The sequence below is a fragment of the Homo sapiens genome, chromosome 22, assembly GCF_000001405.40.
Source record: "Homo sapiens chromosome 22, GRCh38.p14 Primary Assembly".
Taxonomy (NCBI): Eukaryota; Metazoa; Chordata; class Mammalia; order Primates; family Hominidae; genus Homo; species Homo sapiens.
In genome coordinates, this window is record NC_000022.11 from 21,788,558 (window position 1) to 21,812,162 (window position 23,605).

At 42.4% G+C, this 23,605-nt stretch overlaps 1 protein-coding gene and 1 pseudogene across 2 annotated transcripts in view, besides 5 other annotated features; one reads left to right on the top strand and one right to left on the bottom strand.

The window, feature by feature from the left end:
• MAPK1 (mitogen-activated protein kinase 1) overlaps positions 1-23,605 on the bottom strand; it is a 108,024-nt gene that overhangs the window by 28,901 nt on the left and 55,518 nt on the right. For both annotated transcript variants that reach the window (NM_002745.5, NM_138957.3), the window contains exons 2-5: positions 19,107-19,289; positions 17,293-17,482; positions 10,455-10,571; positions 137-251 (exon numbers count right to left, since the gene is read on the bottom strand). In NM_002745.5, coding sequence (NP_002736.3) covers positions 137-251; positions 10,455-10,571; positions 17,293-17,482; positions 19,107-19,289 — 605 coding nt within the window. The remainder of the gene's footprint in view (positions 1-136; positions 252-10,454; positions 10,572-17,292; positions 17,483-19,106; positions 19,290-23,605) is intronic.
• Positions 1,205-1,348: a silencer, noted in NCBI's record as "fragment chr22:22144051-22144194 (GRCh37/hg19 assembly coordinates)". NCBI's record gives its function as "represses an EF-1alpha promoter that drives an FKBP-Casp9 reporter gene in an ReSE screen in K562 erythroleukemia cells {active_cell/tissue: K562}" and the evidence as "EXISTENCE:reporter gene assay evidence [ECO:0000049][PMID:32094911]".
• Positions 2,888-4,087: an enhancer, noted in NCBI's record as "BRD4-independent group 4 enhancer chr22:22145734-22146933 (GRCh37/hg19 assembly coordinates)". NCBI's record gives its function as "activates an origin of replication core promoter dependent on BRD2, P300/CBP, MED14 and CDK7 cofactors, and independent of BRD4, by STARR-seq in HCT116 cells {active_cell/tissue: HCT116}" and the evidence as "EXISTENCE:reporter gene assay evidence [ECO:0000049][PMID:35650434]".
• Positions 3,384-3,433: an enhancer, noted in NCBI's record as "active region_18711". NCBI's record gives its function as "activates an Ori minimal core promoter by ATAC-STARR-seq in GM12878 lymphoblastoid cells {active_cell/tissue: GM12878}" and the evidence as "EXISTENCE:reporter gene assay evidence [ECO:0000049][PMID:35858748]".
• RNA5SP493 (RNA, 5S ribosomal pseudogene 493) lies at positions 3,877-3,967 on the top strand (annotated as a pseudogene).
• Positions 8,969-9,169: a silencer, noted in NCBI's record as "peak4466 fragment used in MPRA reporter construct". NCBI's record gives its function as "represses an SCP1 promoter by STARR-seq MPRAs in K562 erythroleukemia cells {active_cell/tissue: K562}" and the evidence as "EXISTENCE:reporter gene assay evidence [ECO:0000049][PMID:32103011]".
• Positions 22,974-23,188: a silencer, noted in NCBI's record as "fragment chr22:22165820-22166034 (GRCh37/hg19 assembly coordinates)". NCBI's record gives its function as "represses an EF-1alpha promoter that drives an FKBP-Casp9 reporter gene in an ReSE screen in HepG2 liver carcinoma cells {active_cell/tissue: HepG2}" and the evidence as "EXISTENCE:reporter gene assay evidence [ECO:0000049][PMID:32094911]".

Consider the following 23,605-nt stretch of genomic DNA (forward strand, 5'->3'; position numbering starts at 1 on the left):
TCAGAGAAGGTTAAAAATTCACACCTACCACAGGTTAAAGAGTATATTAGAACTCTTCTTAATTTAATGAAGTGACTTTGATGTAAGCTGTACAAACTTGAGTAAATCTAGCTCCTGAAGGGCTCGGGAACCTTACCCAAAATGTGGTTCAGCTGGTCAAGATAATGCTTCCCTGGAAAGATGGGCCTGTTAGAAAGCATTTCTGCCAGAATGCAGCCTACAGACCAAATATCAATGGACTTGGTGTAGCCCTGCAGGAGAAAGAGAGAAAAGACTGAAAATGGTATCTGGTGTTACAGGACATGATGAGATCTTCCTGTATGACAGGTGCATTGCTGATGGGACTCTGAACTTCTCCTTTGACTCTACAATTCAGAAATACAAGTAAACAACATGGAAAAGCAAAAAACAATTTGGCTTTCTTATGAGAGGCTGAACAACCAAGATTATGTGATTTTATTTTTCTCTTCATAGTTGATTAACTTGGGCTGGGCACAGTGGCTAATGCCTGTAATCCCAGCACTTTGGGAGGCCGAGGCGGGCGGATCACTTGAGGCCAGGAGTTTGAGACTAGCCTGGCCAACATGGTGAAACCCCATCTCTACTAAAAATACAAAAAAATTAGCCGGGCATGGTAGTGGGTGCCCGTAATCCCAGCTACGTGGGAGGCTGAGGCAGGAGAATTGCTTGAACCCAGGAGGCAGAGGTTGCAGTGAGCCAAGATCGTGCCACTGCACTCCAGCCTGGGTGACAGAGCGAGACTCTGTCTCAAAACAACAACAAACCCACAAAGTTGATTAACTTATTAAATTAGAATTTCCAAAGTATACATCCGTCCTTTTTTGAAACAATTTGAGAGACAGATTTAGAATTGTCATAAATTGGAGCTGGAAAAAGAAAAAAGGTCTAAAAACCTTTTCTGGGTTTGGGGGAGTGTGTGCTAGCTCCATCATATTTTACCAATCTCTTCTAAAATATTCTCAGCTGGGCATGGTGGCTCACGTCTGTAATCCCAGCACTTTGGGATGCCGAGACGGGCGAATCACCTGATGTCAGAAGTTCAAGATCAGCCTGGCCAACATAGTGAAACCCTGTCTCTACTAAAACTACAAAAATTAGCCGGGCGTGGTGGTGGGCACCCATAGTTCCAGCTACTTGGGAGGCAGAGGCAGGAGAATTGCTTGAACCTAGGAGGCAGAGGTTGCAGTGAGCCGAGATTGCACCACTGCACTCCAGCCTGGGCAACACAGGGAGACTCCATCTCCAAAAATAACATAACATAACATATAACATAACATAACATAACATAACATAACATAACATAACATAACATAAACATAACATAAAACATAACATAACATATAACATAACATAACAAATAAAATAAAATAAAAGAATTCTCATCTTCTTTTCCTATTCATTTTTCAGGAATATGTTTTCTTTTAAAGGAATCCTGTTAGAAGTCATGGGAGGATACTTTGGGAGGCTGAGGTGGGAGTACTGCTTGAGGCCAGGAGTTTGAGGCTGCAGTGAACTATGACTGCAGTTGCACTGTTACACTCCTAATAGCAGCATGTGAAAGAAAATGCATTTCCTCATGTCCTCAACAACACTGGGTATTAACTAATTATTATTATTATTATCATTATTATTATTATTTTGCCACACATGGTGGCTCACACCTGCAGTCCCAGCTACTCGGGAGGCTGAGGTGGGAGGATCACTTAAGCCCAGGGATTGGAGGCTGCAGTGAGCTGTGACCGAGCCAATGCATTCCAGCCTGGGTGACAGAGTGAGACCCTTTCTCTAAAAATTAAAAAAAAAAAAAAAAAATCATGGAAGGATTCTGTCTGAATCATAACAATGGTGCAAAAAAGATGTTTCTCCAAGGAATATAAGCTGACTCTTTTAAAATTAAGAGATGGTGTCATCACTCTGTCACTCAGGCTGAAGTGCAATGGTGTAATCATGCCTCACTGCAAATTCAACTTCCTTGTCTCAGGTGATCCTCTCACCTCAGCCAGGTCCTGAGTAGCTGGCACTACTGAGTAGCTGGCACACAGTAGGTGGGCCACAGGCATACACCACCACACCTGGTTGATTTTTAAATTTTTTGTAGAGAAGGGGTCCCACTATTTGCCCAGGCTGGTTTCAAACTCCTGGGCTCAAATGATCCTCCTGCCTCAGCCTCCCAAAGAGCTGGGATTACGGCATGAGGCACCATACCTGGCTCCAGAAGTGCCTTCTAATACAATGAAGTGCTTTTCTGGTATTCATGTTAAAAATGCATGACCCAAAACTGAGGGGCATTCTACAAAATAGCTCATCTGCACTCTTAAAGGAGACTAAAGAAACACAACAACCTGTCTCTATGAAAAGCACAAAAATAAATAAGTAAATCAGCCATGAGCAGTAGCACGTGCCTGTAGTCTCAGATACTTGGGAGGCTAAGGTGGGAGGATGGCCTTGAGCCCAGGAGGCGGAGGTTGCAGTGAGCCGAGATGGTGCCACGGTACCCCAGCCTGGGTGACAGAATGAGAACCCGTCCTTTTTTTTTGAGACGGAGTCTTGCTTTGTCACCCAGGCTGGAGTGCAATGGCACGATCTCAGCTCATGCAACCTCCACCTCCTGGGTTCAAGCGATTCTCCTGCCTCAGCCTCCTGAGTAGCTGGGATCACAGGTGCCTGCCACTATGTCCAGCTAAATTTTTTGTATTTTTAGCAGAGACAGGGTTTTGCCATGTTGGCCAGGCTGATCTCGAACTCCTGACCCCATGTGATTCACCCACCTTGGCCTCCCAGAGTGCTGGGATTACAGGTGTGAGCCACTGTGGCTGGCCTGCGAACCTGGTCTTAAAACAAGCAAGCAAACAAGCAAACAAACAAAACTCATGACAGTACAACATGTGAACCTGTGCCCAGGTCGGGGGGTGGTTTGGGTGGGGTATAGTTCAAAGGTTATTGGGATAATATCTAAAATGTGAATATAAACTGTGCATTAGATACTGAATCAGTATTAAGTTTCTTGATTTTGAAAACTGTACTGTGGTCATGTTAGAGAATACTCTTAAGGCAGGGTTTTTCAACCTCGGTATGACTAACATTTTGGGCTGAGAAAGTTTCTGTTTGGAGGGCTGTTCTGTATATCGTAGGATTTTTAGCAGCATCTCTGGCCTCTTGATGCAGGGAGTACCCCTACCCCTCACTGTGACAACCCTGCCACATGTCCCCAGGGAACAACAGGACCATGGTTTGAAGTAAAGACATACTGAAACAAGGTGAAGGGGTGTATCTACAATTTACTCTCAAATGACTCAGAGTGCGTGGGAGTGCCCACACACATGCACACAAAGAATGATAAAGCAAATGGGGCAAAAGATAAAAAATCGGTGAGCCTGAATCTGGGGTAAAGGGTATTTAGGAGTTCTATCTGGCGGTTCTACAAGAGTGTTCCAGAGACTCCTATGGGTTCCCTCTAGAGGATCTGAGAGGTCACAGTACATTTATTATACTACTATGACATTTTCATCCTTTTCAGTCACGAGTGAAAAGAAGATTTTTCCAGATGCAATATGATGAGTGATGATGTGTACATGAAAATGTGACACTTGGAATATCTGTGTAACTCAGTGAACCAGTATTTTCCAAATACGCTAAAAAATCATGCATGAGTATGAGTGCAAGGTAGACTAATGGATTTTAACGAAATAGTATCAAGAATTCACTGATATGATTTCAGATTCCACACTGCAATTAACCTTTAAGAAACCACCACTTGTTTAAACTGGGGGTAGGATCAAAGAATAGCCACAAGTGGCTGAAAAGACTACTAAAATTTCCCTCCTTTTTCCAGCTACATACCTGTGTGAAGAGTTTTCCTCTGGCCATACCACCCTGAACACGCCCGATCTTGTCTGATCTCGGAAGCTAAGCAGGGTTGGCCTGGTTAGTGCTTGGATGGGAGGAATAGATCTTGAATTTCATAAATAGCACTCAGACATCTATTTTTAGGCTTATTTGTAAATGTCTTGATAAAATGTCTGATTACTGTTACATACTAGGGAAAAATCTCACTTTTTTGTGTGTTATGCTTTTAAGCATAGATTTTGTTTGCTAAAATGTTATTTAGAATTTTGCATGTATTTTTCACTGGCTTGCGATTTTTCTTTTTATATAACATCTTTTTTAAAGGGTCTTTATTAATATTGCACTCAAGTTTTCTTCTGTTTTCTATGCTCTGAATTCAAGCAGTTAAAATCCATGGGAAAGAGTTTTCCTTGACATTTTTGAAGAACTATGCATGTAATATTATATTGATTATTAAATTGATTAAAGCCTGAAAAAAAAAAAAAAAAGAGTTTTCCTCATGAACTTAAACCAAAACAACATATTTGACAGACTGAATGCAGAACCAGATGAGAATCCAACTGTCTTCTATTAAGCCAGACATTAAAGAGACTTGCAAAAATGAAAACAATGCCACTCTTCTCACTAAAAGGTTGTTTTTCGTTTTGCTTTTTTTAAAGACAGGGTCTCACCCTGTTGCCCAGGCTGGAGTGCAGTGGCGTGATCACGGTACACCGCAGCCTCAATTTCCTGGGCTCAAGAAAATCTCCCATCTCAGCCTCTTGAGTGGCTGGAACTATAGGTGCACACCACCATGCCCAGCTGATTTTAAAATTTTTTGTACAGATGGCAGGGCACAGCAGCTCACACCTGTAATCCCAGCACTTTGGAAGGCCGAGGCAGGTGGACCACAAGGTCAGGAGGTTGAGCCCATCCTGGCTAACATGGTTAAAACCCTGTCTCTACTAAAAATACAAAAAAATTAGCCAGGCGTGGTGGCGGACGCCTGTAGTCCCAGCTACTCGGGAGGCTGAGGCAGGAGAATGGCGTGAACCTGGGAGGCGGACCTTGCAGTGAGCTGAGATCACACCACTGCACTCCAGCCTGGGTGACAGAGCACGACTCCGTCTCAAAAAATAAATAAATAAATAAATAAATTTCTTTTTTGTACAGAGTCTCACTATGTCACCAGGGCTGGTTCCAAACTCCTGGTGATCCTCCTGCATTGGCCTTCCAAAGTGTTGGGATTATAGGTGAGAGCCATCATGCCTGGCCTCACTAAAACGTTTTTATTGTAGAAAATAAACTTATTCTTAAGAAAAACATGTAATTTATCTTAACATGTAGTGGGTTTACTATTTAAAAATTAATTAATACATTTTAAAGTTTCATATTGTAGGCCGGGTGTGGTGGCTCATGCCTGTAACCCCAGCACTTTGGGAAGCCGAGGCGGGTGGATCACCTGAAGTCAGAAGTTCAAGAGCAGCCTGGCCAACATGGTGAAACCCCATCTGTACTAAAAAATACAAAAATTAGCCGGGCATGGTGGTACACACTTGTAGTCTCAGCTACACGGGAGGCGAGGCCGGAGAATCATTTGAACCCGGGAGGCAGAGGTCGCAGTGAGCCAAGATTGAGCCATTGCACTCAAGCCTGGGGGACAAGCGCCAGACTTCTCTCCAAAAATTAAAAAAAAAAAAGTTTCATATTGTAAATAACAATAGATATAACCTACGTAACTAAAAAAAGGTGTGTGGGTCCTTGACTTTTTTTTTTTTTTTGAGACAGAGTCTCACTCTGTCACCCAGGCTGGAGTACTGTGGCAAGATCTCGGCTCACTGCAACCTCCACCTCCCAGGTTCAAGCGATTCTCCTGCCTCAGCCTCCAAGTAGCTGGGATTACAGGTGTGTGCCACCATGCCCAGTGCATTTTTTGTATTTTTAGTAGAGACAGGGTTTCTCCATGTTGGCCAGGCTGGTCTCGAACTCCTGGGCTCAACTGATCCACCCGCCTCGGCCTCCCAAAGTGCTAGGATTATAAGTGTGAGCCACCATGCCCAGCTGGTCCTTGATAATTTTTAACAAATGTAAAGGGATCTTGGCTGGGCGCAGTGGGTCATGCCTGCAATCCTAGCAATTTGGGAGGCTGAGGTGGGTGGATCAGTTGAGCCCAGGAGTTTGAGACCAGCCTGGCCAACATGGCAAAACCCTGTCCCTACAAAAACATACAAAAATTAGCCGGGCATGGTGGTACACGCTTGTAGTCCCAGCTACACAGGAGGCAAGGCTGGAGGATCGCTTGAGGAGGGGGTGGCTACCAGCCTGGGTGACAGAGAGAAACCCCGTCTCAAAAAAAAAAAAAAAAAAAAAAAGCCAGGCACGGTGGCTCATGCCTGTAATCCCAGCACTTTGGGAGGCTGAGGTGGGTGGATCATCTGAGGTCAGGAGTTTGAGACCAGCCAATGTGGTGAAACCCCATCTCTATTAAAAATACAAAAATTAGGCAGGCGTGGTGGCAGGTGCCTGTAATCCCAGCTACTTGGGAGGCTAAGGCAGGGAGAACTGCTTGAACCTAGGAGGCCGAGGTTGCAGTGAGCCGAGATGGTGCCGTTGCACTCCATCTGGGTGACAGAGCAAGACTGTCTCAAAAAAAAAAGAGGCTGGGCGCAGTGGCTCACACCTGTAATCCCAGCACTTTGGGAGGCTGAGGGGGGTGGATCACTTGAGGTCAGGAGTTTGAGACCAGCCTGACCAACATGGTGAAACCCCGTCTCTACTAAAAATACAAAAATTAGCTGGGCTTGGTGGCATGCATCTGTAATCCCAGCTACTTGGGAGACTGAGGCATGAGAATCGCTTGAACCTGGGAAGCAGAGGTTGCAGTGAGCCGAGATCATACCACTGCACTCCAGCCTGGGTGACAGAGTGAGACTCGGTCTCAAAAAAAAAAAAACAGAAAGAACAAAAGAAAGAATGAACCAATGAAAGAAAGAAATGTAAAGGTATCCTGAGACAAGAAGGTTTGAGAATGGCTACCTTATACTTTTCTTGCAACTTTTATGTTTTTAGACAGAGTCTCACTCTGCCACCCAGGCTGGAGTATAGTGGTGTGACCTTGCCTCACTGCAACCTCTGCCTCCCGGGTTCAAACGATTCTCATGCCTCAGCCTCCTGAGTAGCTGAGATTACAGGTGTCCACCATCATGCCTGGCTAATTTTTTGTATTTTTAGTAGAGATGGGGTTTCACAAAGTTGGCTAGGCTGGTATCGAACTCCTGGCGAGTAATCCACCCACCGCGGCCTCCCAAAGTGCTGGGATTACAAGTGTGAGCCACCACACCCAGCAACTTTTCTTTAAAAAATTTTTTTTCTTTCCTAAACAAGCTAAAACAGCGCAAGTTTTCTGAAAGCTGAAATTCTATAAAACGTTACAAATATGTACACAGAGTGCTCTAGCTTCTCAAAACTGGGACAATATGAGTTTAAAAAAAAAAAAGAAAGAAAATTAAAATGGAGAACACATAAAAAAAAAATCCTGGGTCTGCAATAGTGTTTTAAAAACAAAGGTAGGATACAGAGGAAGAGAAAGGGTAAATGGGAAAAATCTTCATAGGAGAATTCTAGCTAATACAAGTAAAAGAAAGAACAAATTTAGAAAATTACCATTTTATAACCTCCAGTATGATAACTGACAGAAGTGAGTGCTGAACCACTGGGGGAAGGCTGCTGGGAAACAAGGATGGCCATCCTGGCTAACATGGTAAAACCCTGTCTCTACTAAAAATACAAAAAAATTAGCCGGGCGTGGTGGCGGGCACCTGTAGTCCCAGCTACTTCTGCACCGTCTTCAGGAATCTGTAGTGGTCGTGTTAGAAACGTGCAAGCTACATCTCATCAGAAAGAACTCACTGGAGGAATCCACAATGTGAACCACTCTGTGAAACAACTGATCTGTACATTGCAAAGTACTGAATGTCTTAAAGAAGAGAGGAAGGGCAAGACTGTTCTAGACTAAGAATAATGCATGAAACAATTAAATCATGTGTTGAAAACAGAGTTACCTAGACTTTTTTGGGAGGATGGGATGTCATGGAATTAATGCTGATCATTTTATGAAAGGGTAAGGGTACTCTAGCTGTGGGAAGAACACCTTCCTTGTAAGGAGCATTAGTATGCCCCAAAGGGTCTAGGAGTGAAGTGTTATATGTTGGTGAAGTGTCACATGGTCTGACAAAAGAGAAGAGACAGAAGAAGAAAGAGAGAGAGAAAGGAAAGAGTAAGAGAGGGAAGGAGGGATAAGAAATATGACAAGGTGTTAATAGCTGGAGAACCAAGGACAGGGGCATATGGGTATTCACTCTACTCTCAATTTTTCTATGGGTTTGATAATTTTCTACATTAATAAAAATAAACAAAATGAAGACAACTGCTAGAAGTAACATTCTCAGGCTACAGGTATCGCAAATAAGAAAAAAATGAACACTCAATTTTCACTTTGGTGACCCTGCAAGTAGAAGGAAAAGCTGGTCATCTTGAAGAACACCCTCTCTGGCTACTTCTCCCTGGAGGGTAATAGAGAAGTGGAGACAGTGGCGGCGTCTAAGTCAGAACGGAGACTGCAAGACCAAGCCACACCAGGACAAAGGCACACCAACAGCTCCCTTTACAACTGGCACTGAACACTGGCATGCCAATGCTCCTTGTTTAGAATGGCTGTCACGTGGCCAGTCAGAGAAAGAACCTGTTGTGTGGGATTATTTGTGATATAGAATTACAGAGAATCAACATGGCATTTTCTTCTCTGAAACATCTGTTACACCAAATCCTTCTTTATAATGGAATTTATGTTAATGAGATTTTACTTTTATAACTAAACTGAACAAATGTAGGATATCAAGAAAAACTAAATGCTTTAAACAAATTCCATTTCCTTATGAAAAAATCTAATAGCTTATCTGTACTAGTAATAAAGGATGGAGGAAGAAAAAGAAGACTATAAGCTAATTAGACCTGTTCTTTCATTTCCACTAAGCCTCTCAGGACTATTTCTGGTTCCTGGGCCCTAGATACAAGATCCAATGTCTATTTTTATTGCTTTTCTTCAAGTATCTTTACATGACAGCAGAGGGAACTGTGTTTAAGAATCTTATAATCCTGAGATACTAGATACAGGTAGTATGTCAGGCCTACTTAACTACTCAATTTTCACACCTTATTCATATATTATTTGCAAATAACAGAAAAATACTGAATCTCAATCTCCATAGCAGCCCTCAATTTTTGCCTCCTGGCTCATAAACCCAACAAAAAATGTCAGACTTCACTTTTCTGGGCTTTTGTAAACTTATTCAACCATTTCTTATGACCAAGACACAGACCTTGCTAGTAGAGTGTGGATGAGACCTGGATGCACTCTCTATAGCCACTCACAGATGCAGAGGAAAGCACTTCATTTGGAAGCAGGAAATCACGTAATTTCAAAAGAATCCACGGCAGTTCCTACTCTGTCCACATTTATGTTTTCTTCAAGTACAACAAATTACAATATAATTCTGCCGAAGAGACATTCTTCATTATCAGATAAATTTGACCTTTATAGAATAGCCCTGGCCCATGTTCACAGAAATACACATTACTGAATAACCTCTACAACAAACCCAGCCTGCACCTAACAGTGACAGCGATAGGTAGGACTTCAGGACAGCTGTCCAAGGAGTGAAACACAGACCACTTATGGTAACAGTGACTGGAGAGGCACACCCCCTCCTACTCTACAACCGTCAGCACTATATCAGCTGAGGTAGAGAGGCTGAGCCCTAGGGCCCAGAAGTTCAATGCCGAACAAAATTTAGACAGCACCTTGGGGCCAGGTGTGGTGGCTCATCCCTGTAATCCCAGCACTTTGCGGGGGGCGTGGGGGGTGCTGAGGTGGGTGGATCCCTTAAGCTCAGGAGTTCAAGACCAGCCTGGGCAACATGCGACATAGGAAGACGCCCTACTTTTACAAAAAAAATTTAAAAATTAGCCAGATGTGGCCAGGCACAGTGGCTCACGCCTGTAATCCCAGCACTTTGGGAGGCTGAGGTGGGCGGATCATAAGGTCAGGAGATAGAGACCATCCCGGCTAACACGGTGAAACCCCGTCTCTACTAAAAAATACAAAAAATTAGCCGGGCATGGTGGCGGGAGCCTGTAGTCCCATCTACTTGGGAGGCCGAGGCAGGAGAATGGTGTGAACCCAGGAGGCGGAGCTTGCAGTGAGCTGAGATTGTGCTACTGCACTCTGCCTGGGCAACAGAGTGAGACTCCATCTCAAAAAAAAAAAAAAATTAGCCAGGTGTAGCGGTGCACTCTGTAGTCCCAGCAACTCCGGAGACTGAGGTGAGGAGGGTCACTTGAGCCCAGGAGGTTGAGACTGGTAAGCCGTGATGGTGCCACTGCACTCCAGCCTGGGTGACAGAGTAACACCCTGTCTCAAAAAAGACAGCACCTTGTCTCTGGCCAGACAGGCAAACTCTCAACGCAGAGGGAGACTTACGGCTTACTGCAATGCATTCAGAAAGTTCTCTTACTTACTGGATTTCTTTTTATGCAAACTTCATCCTTACCTTGGAATTCAACATAATTTCTGGAGCCCTGTACCAACGTGTGGCCACATATTCTGTCAGGAACCCTGTGTGATCATGGTCTGGATCTGCAACACGGGCCAGGCCAAAGTCACAGATCTAAGAGAGAAAAAAAACAGGATAACTTCTTAGAAATTCTAACCTTTCATATCAAAACATCACAAAAATAAAAAAGGCAATAGGAATAATAATGCTACTAAGTGGCAGATACTTTCTGGGCATTCTAGAAAATCATTATTTAATTTTCCCAACAACCTGAAAAGCAATCAACATGTTAGAGACCAGGATGCAGGCTGAAGAAGTCTTTACAGAGCACACTTTAAGAAGCATCCCTACCTTTCATTATCTGCTTAGCACAAAGCAATCTCAATAGGTGAATTGACAAAAACTGTTCTGAGTAGTCACCAAAACCAACCAGTACCCTTTTCTCAGCCTGTCCTGCTGGAGCTCTCAGGACTGCTGTGAAGATCTGCACTGGCCTTCTATTCTCAGACTCTACTTTCTGCTAGTCTTCTACTTAGTCTATAAATATAAGTATTTCCAAAGATTCTTCCCACTTCCTTCTTCTAGGTAGTCAAACCTACTCCCAAAGCTTTTTTTTTTTAAAGTTTCATATACTTAAGAATATTTTATTTTTAAAAAATACATAGTTTCTCATTTTCTCCGGTCTCAAGCATCTACTGGCCTTTCATCATCTGGCCCTCCAATATCATGGTGTGGCTTATTTTCTATTTTTAGTAGAGATGGGGTTTCACCACGTTGGCCAGGCTGGTCTCGAACTCCTCACCTCAGGTGATTCAACCACCTCAGCCTCCCAAAGTGTTGGGATTACAGGTGTGAGCCACCATGCCTGGCCATGATTTTTTTTTAAGGTCTGTCAACACTATAAAATCAAAGACTAACCAAATTTACATGACACTAATCAATACAATGCCAAGGCTACAAAATAAAAAAGCAGTAGTACTCAGTATAATTCCATACAAAGGAAAATAAATAAGGATATGGTACAAGAAAATATACCTTTTGGGCTGTGTAAATTCAGATTTTCAAAAACAAAGGATGCCCCAAAGACGTGTTTCATTTGTATCTATCAGAGTCTTTCTTTCATAGGCATAGCCAGAATTTTCACATGTTGTGATCCCAGCATCTTGTGACTCCTACTGGGATTTCTGTGGGATCAGTCTAGTAAACAAGGGCACAGACTAGTATAGCTCACGTTCCCTGGTAGTTACACTAGAAATGTGCTAGCAGAGCCTCCAAATAGGGTCTGTAACCCTGGTGAGTTCCTGTGGTCCTGAAGAATAAAGTCTACAAGAGAGGATCCCGGAAGGGTCCTAAGATGTCAATGTCTGCTGGGTCTTAAGCTTCATAAAATAAGTGCAAAGCATGTTTATGGAAACCAAAAAGCAAGCTTATTTCTGTCGGCCTTGACTGATAACAGAGCCAAAAGTTAAAGGTCTAAGACACTGATAATAGCTGATATCGATAAGGGTTCAAGATATTTTGGTAAGGGTTCAAGAGTAAAAAACACTGTAACATAGAAGTCATTGGATGAAGGTTGAAGAAATCTTCTTGAAAATCTGAAAGGACCTAAATAACAGGAGGTCAGTGACGCTGCAAGTTACAAACTTCCTAGGCCAAGGGGCCTGTGGGAATAGGCATCATGGTCACATGGCACTGAGGATGTGATAAATGTGCAGTGATCCCAGAGCTCCAGCAAACACAAGTCCTCTCCTCATGTGGTGTTCTCAACTGTCATATGCACACTGAACTGCCACTGCCTCTTGCCCTGCTTTGACACGCTCACTGTAACAAATCAGTGACATACCATACTCATCTTTGAATGAGATTCTCTCTTCTCGCATTTATACCCATGAGAATGATGCACACACATTGCTGTATACTTTTTTTTTTCTGAGATGGAGTCTCACCCTGTTGCCCAGGCTGGAGTGCAGTGGTGCCATCTCAGCTCACTGCAACCTCTGCCTCCCACTGATTCTCGTGCCTCAGCCTCCCAAGTAGCTGGGATTACAGGTGTGCGCCACCACACCCAGCTAATTTGTTTGTATTTTCAGTAGAGACAGGGTTTCACCAAGTTGGTCAGACTGGACTTGAACTCCTGACCTCAGGCGATCCGCCTGCCTCAGCCACTCAATGTGTTGGGATTACAGGCGTGAGCCATGGCACCTGACTGCTGTATACTTTTAAAATATCAGTAAAGGCCGGGTGTGGTGGCAAATGCCTGTAGAATCCCAGCACTTTGGGAGGTCAAGGCGGGCGGATCACGAGATCAGAAGTTCGAGACCAGCCTGGCCAATATGGTGAAACCCCGTATCTACTGAAAATACAAAAATTAGCCAGGCATGGTGGTGGGCACCTGTAATCTCAGCTACTCAGGAAGCTTCAGCAGGAGAATTGCTTGAACCCAGGAGGTGAAGGTTGCAGTGAGCTGAGATCATGCCACTGTACTCCTGGGCAACAGAGCAAGACTCTATCTCGAAAAAGTATAAAATAAAAATAAAAATAAATAAAATAAAAATAAAATAAAATAAAATAAAATGTTAGTCAATTTGTTATGCTTCTGATTCTTTGTGTTAACTTGGGTTTTCAAGACGATGCCTAAATTATGCCACGGCCAACAACTCGTGTGTGTGAGTGTGAGTAGGTGAACAGAATGGCCTTAAAGACAAGTCCATAAACTGGGAAGAGACAACAGAGAGAGTAGTCTGGTTCTATTTGTTTTATTCTTAAAGATGAACACTTTCAAGCAAAAATAAGAGCCAATTCTTCCCAGAAATGTTATATGCTTAAAATATTGATTGAGAATGTCTCTCCAAAAACAAAAGCAATCTGCCATAACAGGGCTATGATGATAACCAAAAGAAAAAAAAAACACGAGGAGACATAAAAATATTCACTGCAAATTTTCAAGACAATCATTAAGTGCCAAAGAAGTAGTACAGCCATCCTAAACATAGCTTTATTCGTTTTGTGCCCACCTGACTCTTGGTTGCACTGATCCAGGTAAAGGAGCTGGTTCCATCCCATGTGGAAAAGACATAAACCTGTATCAGAAGGATCCTAAGAGGGGACAGAGTCCAATCCACACAATATCTGATGAAGGAAGCTGTCCTTTACATCTCACTGGACATTGGCCACCGTGTTCACCCACCGTGACAAAACCCACCGCTTTTTACACACAGTTCTAGAAGGTTCCCCACGATCTACTTGCAACCAACCTTTTTAGCTTAGTGTCGATGACTCCCTATTACTCATCCAATGCTGCAGCCACAGGGAGGAAGACTCAGTGCTTTCGGTAGTAGTCCCTTCCTTCTTATTTTATTTCTGTACTCTCTGCCTATGATACCCTATGTCCAATAGAGCCACTGGCCTCCCGCAAGAAAAGCTACCCAACCTCGAGGGCCGGCACAGATACCACCTTCTTCCTGCTGCCTCCCAGTCCCAGCCAGCGCTAGCCCACCTCTCTCCTTTGCATTTGTACACCATCTTTTTCTCCATCTCAGTTACAGAACATCTCATTATAATCACCTACTGTCTACCAGATTTCTGATCTATCAGTTTTCAGATTTCAAGGGCAGACCCTCATCTCTCTTGTCTGGCGTATCTCAAAGGGCTTCTCATAGGAGTGTCTGTTGAACTGAAATCCAATAAATGATTATTGCTATACATATATATGTACTTAAGCAGCTTTATTAACCTATAATTCACACACCATACAATTTGCTCATTTAAAGTGTATAACTCAATGGTTTTAGTATTATAATGGTGGAAATTAACCATTACCACCATCCAATTTGAAAATATTTTTATAACCTCAAAAAGAAATTCCAGTGAGTTAGTATTCCTTCCTTCTTTATTCTCCCAACTCCTCTAGCCCTAGGCAATCAGTAATCCACTAATTCTAATTTTTGTCTCTATGGATTTGCCTATTCTAGACATTTCACGTAAACAGAATCATACAATATGTGTCTTCTGTGGCTGCCTTCCTTCACAGACATGTTTCCAAGATTCATCCATGTTGTAGCATTATCAGTACTTCACTCCTTTCTCTTCTACTGTGTGGATCCACCACACTGTATTTATTCATCATCAGCTGGACATTTGGATTGTTTCTACTTACTGGCTATAGTGAACAATACCACTATGAAGATTTGTGTTCAAGTTTTTGTATAGATGCATGTTTTCATTTTCACTAAGGAGTGGAATCCTCACCAACACTTATTATCTGACTTTTTAACTACAGCCATCCTAGTTAGCATGAAGTTGTTTCAATGTAATTTTGATTTGCATTTTTCTACTGACTAATGATGTCAAGCATCTATCATTCCATGTGCTTATTGCCATCTGTATATCTTCTTTAGAGAAATGTCTATTCAGATCCTTTGTCCATTTTTTAAACTAGGCTATTTATCTTTTCATTATTGAGTTATAAGAGTTCTTCATATATTCTAGTTTTAAGTCCCTTATCAGATGTATGATTTGCAAATACCTTCTCTCATTCTGTGGCTTGCCTTTTCACTTTTTTGATGGTTTGCTTTGTAGCACAAGTTTCTAATCTTGATGGAATCCACTTACTTTTTTCTTTTGTTGCTTGTGCTTTTGGTGTCATGTCTAAGAAGCTTTGCCTAACATAAGATTGCAAAGATTTACTTCTATGTTTTCTAAGAGTATTAAAGTTTTAGCTTTTAATTGAGTTCTTCAATCCATTTTGAATTTTTTTTTCCTTTTGAGACAAGGTCTCACTCTGTCACCCCAGATGGAGTGCAGTGGTGCAATCTCTGCTCACTGCAATTTCCACCTCCCAGGCTCAAGCAGTCCTCCCACTCAGCCTCCTGAGTAGCTGGGACCACAGGCACATGCCACCACGCCCAGATTAATTTTTTTGTATTTTCGGTAGAGATGGGGTTTTGCCATGTTGCCCAGGCTGGTCTTGCTCCGGAGCTCAGGCAATCCACAGGCCTTGGCCTCCCAAAGTGCTGGGATTACAGGCGCGAACCACTGCACCCAGCCATTTTGAGTTAATTTTTTCATCTTTTTGTATGTGGCTATTCAGTTGTCCCAGATTCATTTGCTGAAAAGACTATTCTTTCCCCAGTGAATGGTCCTGGCATCCTTGCCAAAAATCAGTTGACCATAGATACACGGGTTTATTTACTGACTCTCACTTCTATTCCACTGACCTATATGTCTATTCTTATGCCAGTAGCACACTGTCTTGATTACTGTGTTTTGCAGTAAGTTTTGAAATCAGGAAGTGTATCAGTTCTCCATATGAATTTCCATATGAATTTTGGGATCAGCCTGTCAATTTCTACAGAAAAAAACAACTGGGGGCTTTGATAGGGATTGCACTAAATCTGCAAATCAATTTGGAGAATACTGCCATCTTAACAGTATTAAGTCTTATGATCCACAGACATGGGATGCCTTCCCATTTATTTAGGTCTTCTTGAATTCCTGTGCATTTTTTTAGACTGAATCGACATCGCTCCGTCACATCTAAGATATCCATAAATTTCCCTCGTTTACCTGTAACACCCATTAAAACAGAAATATGTAAATGCTGCATATTTTCAGAACTCTGAGGACTGTAAAGAATTTGGGGTTTTCTTATTTAGTTGGAATGCCTTATTAGGTATTAAAGTCAGTGACGTTAAGTTTTCTGCTGCTATCTTTTGAATAAAATTTATTGAAGAAAAATGTCACCAACAAAACATGATTTTAAAACTAACACATAAGGCCAGGCGCGGTGGCTCACGCCTGTAATACCAGCACTTTGGGAGGCCAAGGTGGGCGGATCACAAGGTCAGGAGATTGAGACCATCCTGGCTAACACGGTGAAACCCCATCTCTACAAAAATACAAAAACAAAGAAAAATTAGCCAGGCGTGGTGGCAGGTGCCTGTAGTCCCAGCTACTCGGGAGGCTGAGGCAGGAGAATGGCGGGAACCTGGGAAGCAGAGCTTGCAGTGAGCTGAGATCGCGCCACTGCACTCCAGCCTGGGTGACAGAGCGAGACTCCATCTCAAAAAACAAACAAACGAACAAAAAAACTAACACATAATGTACGTGATCCTGTTTATCTATATAAAGTATAAAAATACACATGTATGCAAGAGCATAGAAAATACTTTGGGAGAAAATACACTTTGTTTTTTAGGACAGAGTTTTGCTTTGTCACCCAGGCTGGCGTGCAGTGGTGTGATCTCGGCTCACTGCAACCTCCGCCTCCCAGGTTCAAGCGGTTCTCCTACCTCAGCTCCCATGTAGCTGGGATTACAGGCGCATGCCACCACGCCCGGCTGATTTTTGTATTTTTAGTAGAGATGGGGTTTCGCCATGTTGGCCAGGCTGGTCTTGAACTCCTGACCTCAGGTGATAAGGCCCACCTTGGCCTCCCAAGGTGCTAGGATTACAGGCGTGAGCCACCGCAACTGGCCACCAATTTGTTATAGTAGTTAGTTATCACGGCCTGGTGCTGTGGCCCACATACATAATCCCAGCACTTTGGGAGGCCAAGAAAGGAGGACTGCTTGAGCCCAGGAGTTCCAGACCGGCCTGGGCAACATACTAAGACTCTGTCTTTAAGAAAAAAAAAAAAAAGGTATCTCTGGGGAGAAAGGAGCAATGGGATAAGGAAGAAGAAGAGGACTACCACACTTTATTAGCATTTTTGCCATAAACATGTTTTTGGGTATTTCTGGTGTAATTTAAAATATGAATAATGACAAATATAACTATGCTTCAGTGAAAGGGTTTTTCAATATATATCACCTTAATAGTAAATAACCTGGCTGACCTTGAGATCACAGGTGGTGTTGAGCAGCAGGTTGGAAGGCTTGAGGTCACGGTGCAGAACGTTAGCTGAATGGATATATTTTAACCCTCTGAGGATCTGGTAGAGAAAATAGCAGATATGGTCATTGCTGAGGTGTTGTGTCTTCAAGAGCTTGTAAAGATCTGTTTCCATGAGGTCCTGTACTATATATCTGTTTGCACAGGTTAAGGTAAAACACCAATTAGCTGGTCACATTTAGCAAAGCATTGAAAACAAAAATGCATCCTCTCTTGACTCTCTTCCCAAACAGTCCATCATTACACCATGAAGCCCTTAAAGGAAAGAAGAAACTGAGGAAAACTTGGTTTCCTTCATGGAAAGAATCTGAAGTCGTTAACTCCTTTTAGGTCCTGTGAGATGGCAGGCATTCCAGCATTACATCTGACTGATGCGGCTATGGGCCTAGACTGAGATCTGAAACAGGCTGTTAGGGAAATTCTGGTCAATCTTGAAGTCTCAACCTCTTTGCTCTCTAAATTGTCCACCATCAACGAACCCCCTCCAAGGTTTGCTGGAAACACTGTTAGCCTGTAAGTAGCAGATACTCCCTCCTCTGTTTGGTCCAGTAACCTGTAATGTCACTATTCTTTTTACTTCTTGTTGCCGCTCCCCTCCTCTCCCAAGCTCCTCAAAAGCCAAACATAAAACTTCCAGAAATACAGGTCTAGAAACATACTCTTACTAGTAAATCCAACCCTAAGTCTATTTTCTTGACTCTTCCATTACTGTTAAGATCTTAAATAAGTAAGACTATGGGCAAGTCGTTCTAAGAAGGGGTTTGTGCTAGTTTTCCTCCTCATGCTTTCTTGCCTGGTCACGTACTTAACTACCTAAAAGTTTAGCTATGGCTACTTTCTTTCTCACAGAAATTAAATTATTAAAGCATTTAGCCTTTAACTTCATCATAGTATTATTTCATTAGCAGTATTTCTACATTTCTTTTACTCACTTCTGTGTAAACACTAGTCTCTGTTTCTTACAGATTTATGCTATAGGAGGCGCAGCATGGGATTCAAAGGAAACATGATTTAAAAATCTGTCATCTGAGAGAGGCTTATTTTCATGGCAAAAAGTAAAGCAGGACCAACAGGTGGTAGTGGCAGGAGGCATTTCACTTCAAATATCACTACAACTTATTAACAGAGCTGTTTAAAAATGGAAAGGGCTGCCTAGAAACAGCGAGCTCCCGCACCCTGGAGGGGCGGAATACAAATTGGGTAAACTGGTAGGAGTGCTGTATAACCCTTTCCCTTCTGGCAGATCCTCTTCAGTATACTTAACCTCTCTATCTTTCAAATGGAGCCTTTACCCAGGCAGCATCCTCTAGATCTGTTCAGTCCAGATTTCTAAATGTTGGTCAGAGTTAATCACATAATTTCAGACCTCAGTTGACCTTAAAGATCATGACGACCAGTTCCTTCATTTTAAAGGTGGGGAAACTGAGACCTAAAGTGGTAACCTGACTCTTAAGATCAGGACAGTCCTGATTTCACCAGGTAGATAGCCAGGGCACCCTCTTTCTTAGTCTACTACTGATCTTCCCTTTACCTTTTCATCATCACAACAAACCATCCCTTGGACAGAAGAAACATGACTGCAAACAGAGTTAACCAAGATTTTCCATGACTAGACTTAGGGAGTAAATAGCAAACAGATTACGATTTTCCCTTTAGCATGTTTAATGCACTTTTCCTTTAAGTTCAGGAAATTTCAAGTTCTATTTACTCAACAAGGTTACCAAGCAGTGGAATTGGCCAGTTGCCTAAAAAGGATACACATCTTTCATTTGCTCGATGGTTGGTGCTCGAATAATGTCATTGATTCCAATGATGTTCTCATGTCTGAAGCGCAGTAAGATTTTTATCTCCCTCAGGGTTCTCTGGCAGTAGGTCTGGTGCTCAAAGGGGCTGATTTTCTTGATAGCTACTCGAACTTTGTTGACATTATCATAAGCAGAGCTTAAAAAAGAGAGAGAGAGATGGCATTAAAAACAGCCCTCAGAATATTTGAAGAAGGCAAGTTGGTAAAGTATTATATTTTTAACACTGTGTAAACACCTGTTTCATACCCGTGAAGGCAGCATGTATATTATCCACAAAAAGGCCTCAAGCTAGGGAGGATGGATGCAACTGACATGAGAGAGCACACAGTGACTCTCAAAACTAACAGAGAACCTAGCCCTGTTAACTGGGTGAAAGTCTTGCCTTTATAAACCCAGAAATACACAAACAAGCATTCTCCCATTGTCTTAAACAGCAACTGCATTCTGGTGAGAGTAATCACTTCTGTCTCTGAAACACCTTCTTACTGTTGTATCAAATTCCTCTGACACAGAAGAAACATTCAAATAACCTACAACTGTACATCTTTATCCCTAACAAAAATGGACCCAAGAGAACACCTTGATTACTTCTATTAACTTTGTTTCTCTCACTTGCAAAACAACATGACCATTTCTTCCCCCAAGAAACTGAATCAAGATGTTTGGGTAGTTTTATAACAAAACCTAGAAAAGTATTCTTCAAAAAACATATTTGTGGCAATAACATGGGGCCCAGTTCTTTCCTAGTTGTCCTTAATGTCTGATAAACCAGAATTATAAGCAAAAGCAATAATAAAAATTATACCTTCAATTTTATGAATTTGAATCTTGAGTATTACTACTATCTTTATGATAAACATTCTATTACAATCTTGTGTATAAGAAATTTTCATATTAATAAATGTCAACATCTGGCCCACTGACCAAAGCAATCAAATAACATTGACAGGCAGTAAGACAACATTTCTTGTTTCCTTGGGGTAAGTGCTAGAATAGAAAGCAGTAAAATAACTTTATTCTAAAATTTATGCTTCTAGGGCCGGGTGCAGTGGCTCACACCTGCAATCCCAGCACTTTGGGAAGCTGGGGCGGCTGGATCACTTGAGGACAGGAGTTTTGAGACCAGCCTGGACAACATGGTGAAACCCCGCCTCTACTAAAAATACAAAAAAATTAGCCAGGCATGGTGGCAAGTGCCTACAATCCCAGCTACTTGGGAGGCTGAGGCACAAGAATCACTTGAACCTGGGAGATGCACGTGGCAGTGAGCCAAGATTGTACCACTGCACTCCAGCCTGGGCGACAGAGTGAGACTCCGTCTCTAAATTAAATAAAGTTTATGCTTCTATAATATTTATCAGTCTACTAATCCTAAGAATTATTGATACATTTGTCTGATTCTATGACAAGATAATGCTCTGGAGGAGAACTTTGTCTTACTAGGATCCAATTATCCTACAACACCATTAACATATAGTACACAGGTGGCCCCAAATGCTTTGAAATGAAGTATATTTTCTTAAGTAAAATAACCACTACTCAAATCTTATTTTGCTTTGGTTTGGTACATGAGGCCCTAAGCCAGTGATTTTCAGTTAGGCAACAGCATATATAATAGTAATAATTTAACATAGTATTAAAAAGCATATATAATAAGCAAGCTTATTCAATATTGGGAATATTTTTAGAAAAAAATTCTATTTTGGTAATTCAAATCATAGAACAAGAGTTCAACAACAGCACGGATTAGTTATAAAATGCTGGTTTAAACTCAACATTACAATTTTCTAGTGTTAATATTATAAATTTCTAGTGTTAACAGTCACAAGTGGTCATAATTTGTTCTGCAAAATTATAATCCAACAAAATTTTTGGAGAGAGGAGTTTATGGTCAGTGTGCCCCTCTACTGTATCAACACTCAGTGACGAAATAACTGCCCTCCCCCCCGGCCTCTTTAAAATTTTTTTGTGGAAGCAGTCTCGCTCTGTCGCCCAGGCTGGAGTGCAGTGGTGCGATCTTGGCTCACTGCAAGCTCCCCCTCCTGGGTTCAGGCCATTCTCCTGCCTCAGCCTCCCGAGTAGCTGGGACTACAGGCCCCGCCACCACGCCTGGCTAATTTTTTGTATCTTTAGTAGAGACGGTGTTTCACCGTGTTAGCCAGGATGGTTTCAATCTCCTGACCTCGTGATAGGCCCCGCCTCGGCCTTGCAAAGGGCTGGGATTACAGGGTGAGCCACCATGCCCGGCCAACTGCCTCCTTTTAAGTAAGAAAATATGAGATCATCCTCATCTGGTCCCACTTGAAAAAAAGGAGTTTTGTCTGTTCCTGTCTGCTCCGCTTAACCATTCTGCTGCCTTTTTGGTTTATGCAATCTATCTTTCATAGAACTGATGACAAAGAGGGTTACACTCTTCCATAATGATTCCATACTTGCTAGTTTCTCCTTGGATTTCTCGGTTTTGTTTTACATATTTTATTGTTGATACTTGGTAAATAAGGCATACCATGAACTTTCAGGTGTCTATAAACATTTATGCTTTAAAATCACTTTGACATTACCAACTGTGTCTTGTTTTGCTCAACCCCTTTTGTCCCTAACTACCACCACACTACAGGTTTTTGCTATAAGTGTGTCTCTTATCACAGGAATCCAAAGATGGTTCATTAAAAAAGAAGGCCGGGTGCGGTGGCTCATGTCTGTAATCCCAGCACTTTGGGAGGCCAAGGCAGGCGGATCATGAGGTCACGGCAGGCGGATCATGAGGTCACGAGATTGACACCATCCTGTCCAAAATGGTGAAACCCCATCTCTACCAAAAATACAAAAATTAGCTGGGTGGGGTGGTGCGCGCCCATAGTCCCAGCTACTTGGGAGGCTGATGCAGAAGAATGGCTTGAACCCAGGTGATGGAGGCTGCAGTGAGCCAAGATCGCGCCACTGCACTCCAGCCTGGTGACAGAGTGAGACTCAGTCTCAAAAAACAAAAAAAAAAAAAGTGGGGGTCAGTCCTAATGGGTGTGTGGTGATAGCTCATTGTGGTTTTGATTTGCATTTCTCTGATTCATGATGATGACCATCTTTTCTTATGTCTTCTTTTGAAACGTGTATTCAACGTTATGCCTTTTTTTTTTTTGAGACGGAGTCTCGCTATGTCGCCAGGCTGGGGTGCAGTGGCTCAATCTCGGCTTACTGCAACGTCTGCCTCCTGGGTTTATGCAATTCTCCTGCCTCAGTCTCCTGAGTAGCTGGAATTACAGGATCTCCTGACCTGGTGACCCGCCTGCCTTGGCCTCCCAAAGTGCTGGAATTACAGGCGTGAGCCACCCACCACGACCAGCCAGGACTGCCACTATTTAAAAACAAACAAACAAACAAACAGAAAACCGTAAGTGTGATGTGGATAAATTTGAACCTTCATACTCTATTGTTGAGTGTGCAAAATGGTGTAACCACTTGGAAATTCCTCAAAAAATTAAAAATAGAATTCCCATATGGTCCAGCAATCCCACTTCTGAGCATATATCCAAAACAATTCAAAGTAGAATCTCTAAGAGCTACTGGCAGGTTCATTGTGCAGCATTACGCACAATACCCAAGATGTGGAAGCAACCGAAATGTCCACTATGGATGAATGGATAAAGAAAATGTAGCATATACATAGAGTGGAATATTATTCAGTCTTTAAAAAAAAAAAAAAAACCACACACACACACAAAGAAATTCAATTCAGCATCCAAAAACCATGCCTAATTGTTTTTATTATTTATTTATTTATTTGAGACAGAGTCTCGCTCTGTCGCCCAGGCTGGAGTGCAGTATCGCATCTTGGCTCACTGCAAGCTCCGCCTCCTGGGTTCTCGCCATTCTCCCGCCTCAGCCTCCCGAGTAGCTGGGACTACAGGGGCCCACCACCACGCCCGGCTAATTTCCTTTTTTTTTGTATTTTTGGTAGAGATGGGGTTTCACCATGTTAGCCAGGATGGTCTCGATCTCCTGACCTCGTGATCTGCCCGCCTTGGCCTCTCAAAGTGCTGGGATTACAGGTGTGAGCCACCGCACCCGGCCAATTGTTTTTAATTTAAAAACTTTTTGGTAGATATGGGGTCTCACTATGTTATCCAGGCTGGTCTTGAACTCCTGGTCATAAGTGATCCTCCCACCTCAGCCTCCCAAAGTGCTGGGATTACAGGCATGAGCCATTGTGCCTGGTCTGACTTAATATTCTTAAAGTGTCTACACTACTCAGTGTGGTCTGCAGAGTCAATGTAATCCCTATCAAAGTTCCAATGGCATTTTTCACAGAAACAGAAAATGTAATCTTTAAATTCATATATGGAACCACAAAAGATCCCATATAGCCAAAGCAATCCTGAGCAAGAACAAAGTGGTGGCTTCACATCACTTGATTTCAAAATACACTACAAAGCTATAGTAACCAAAACAGCACAA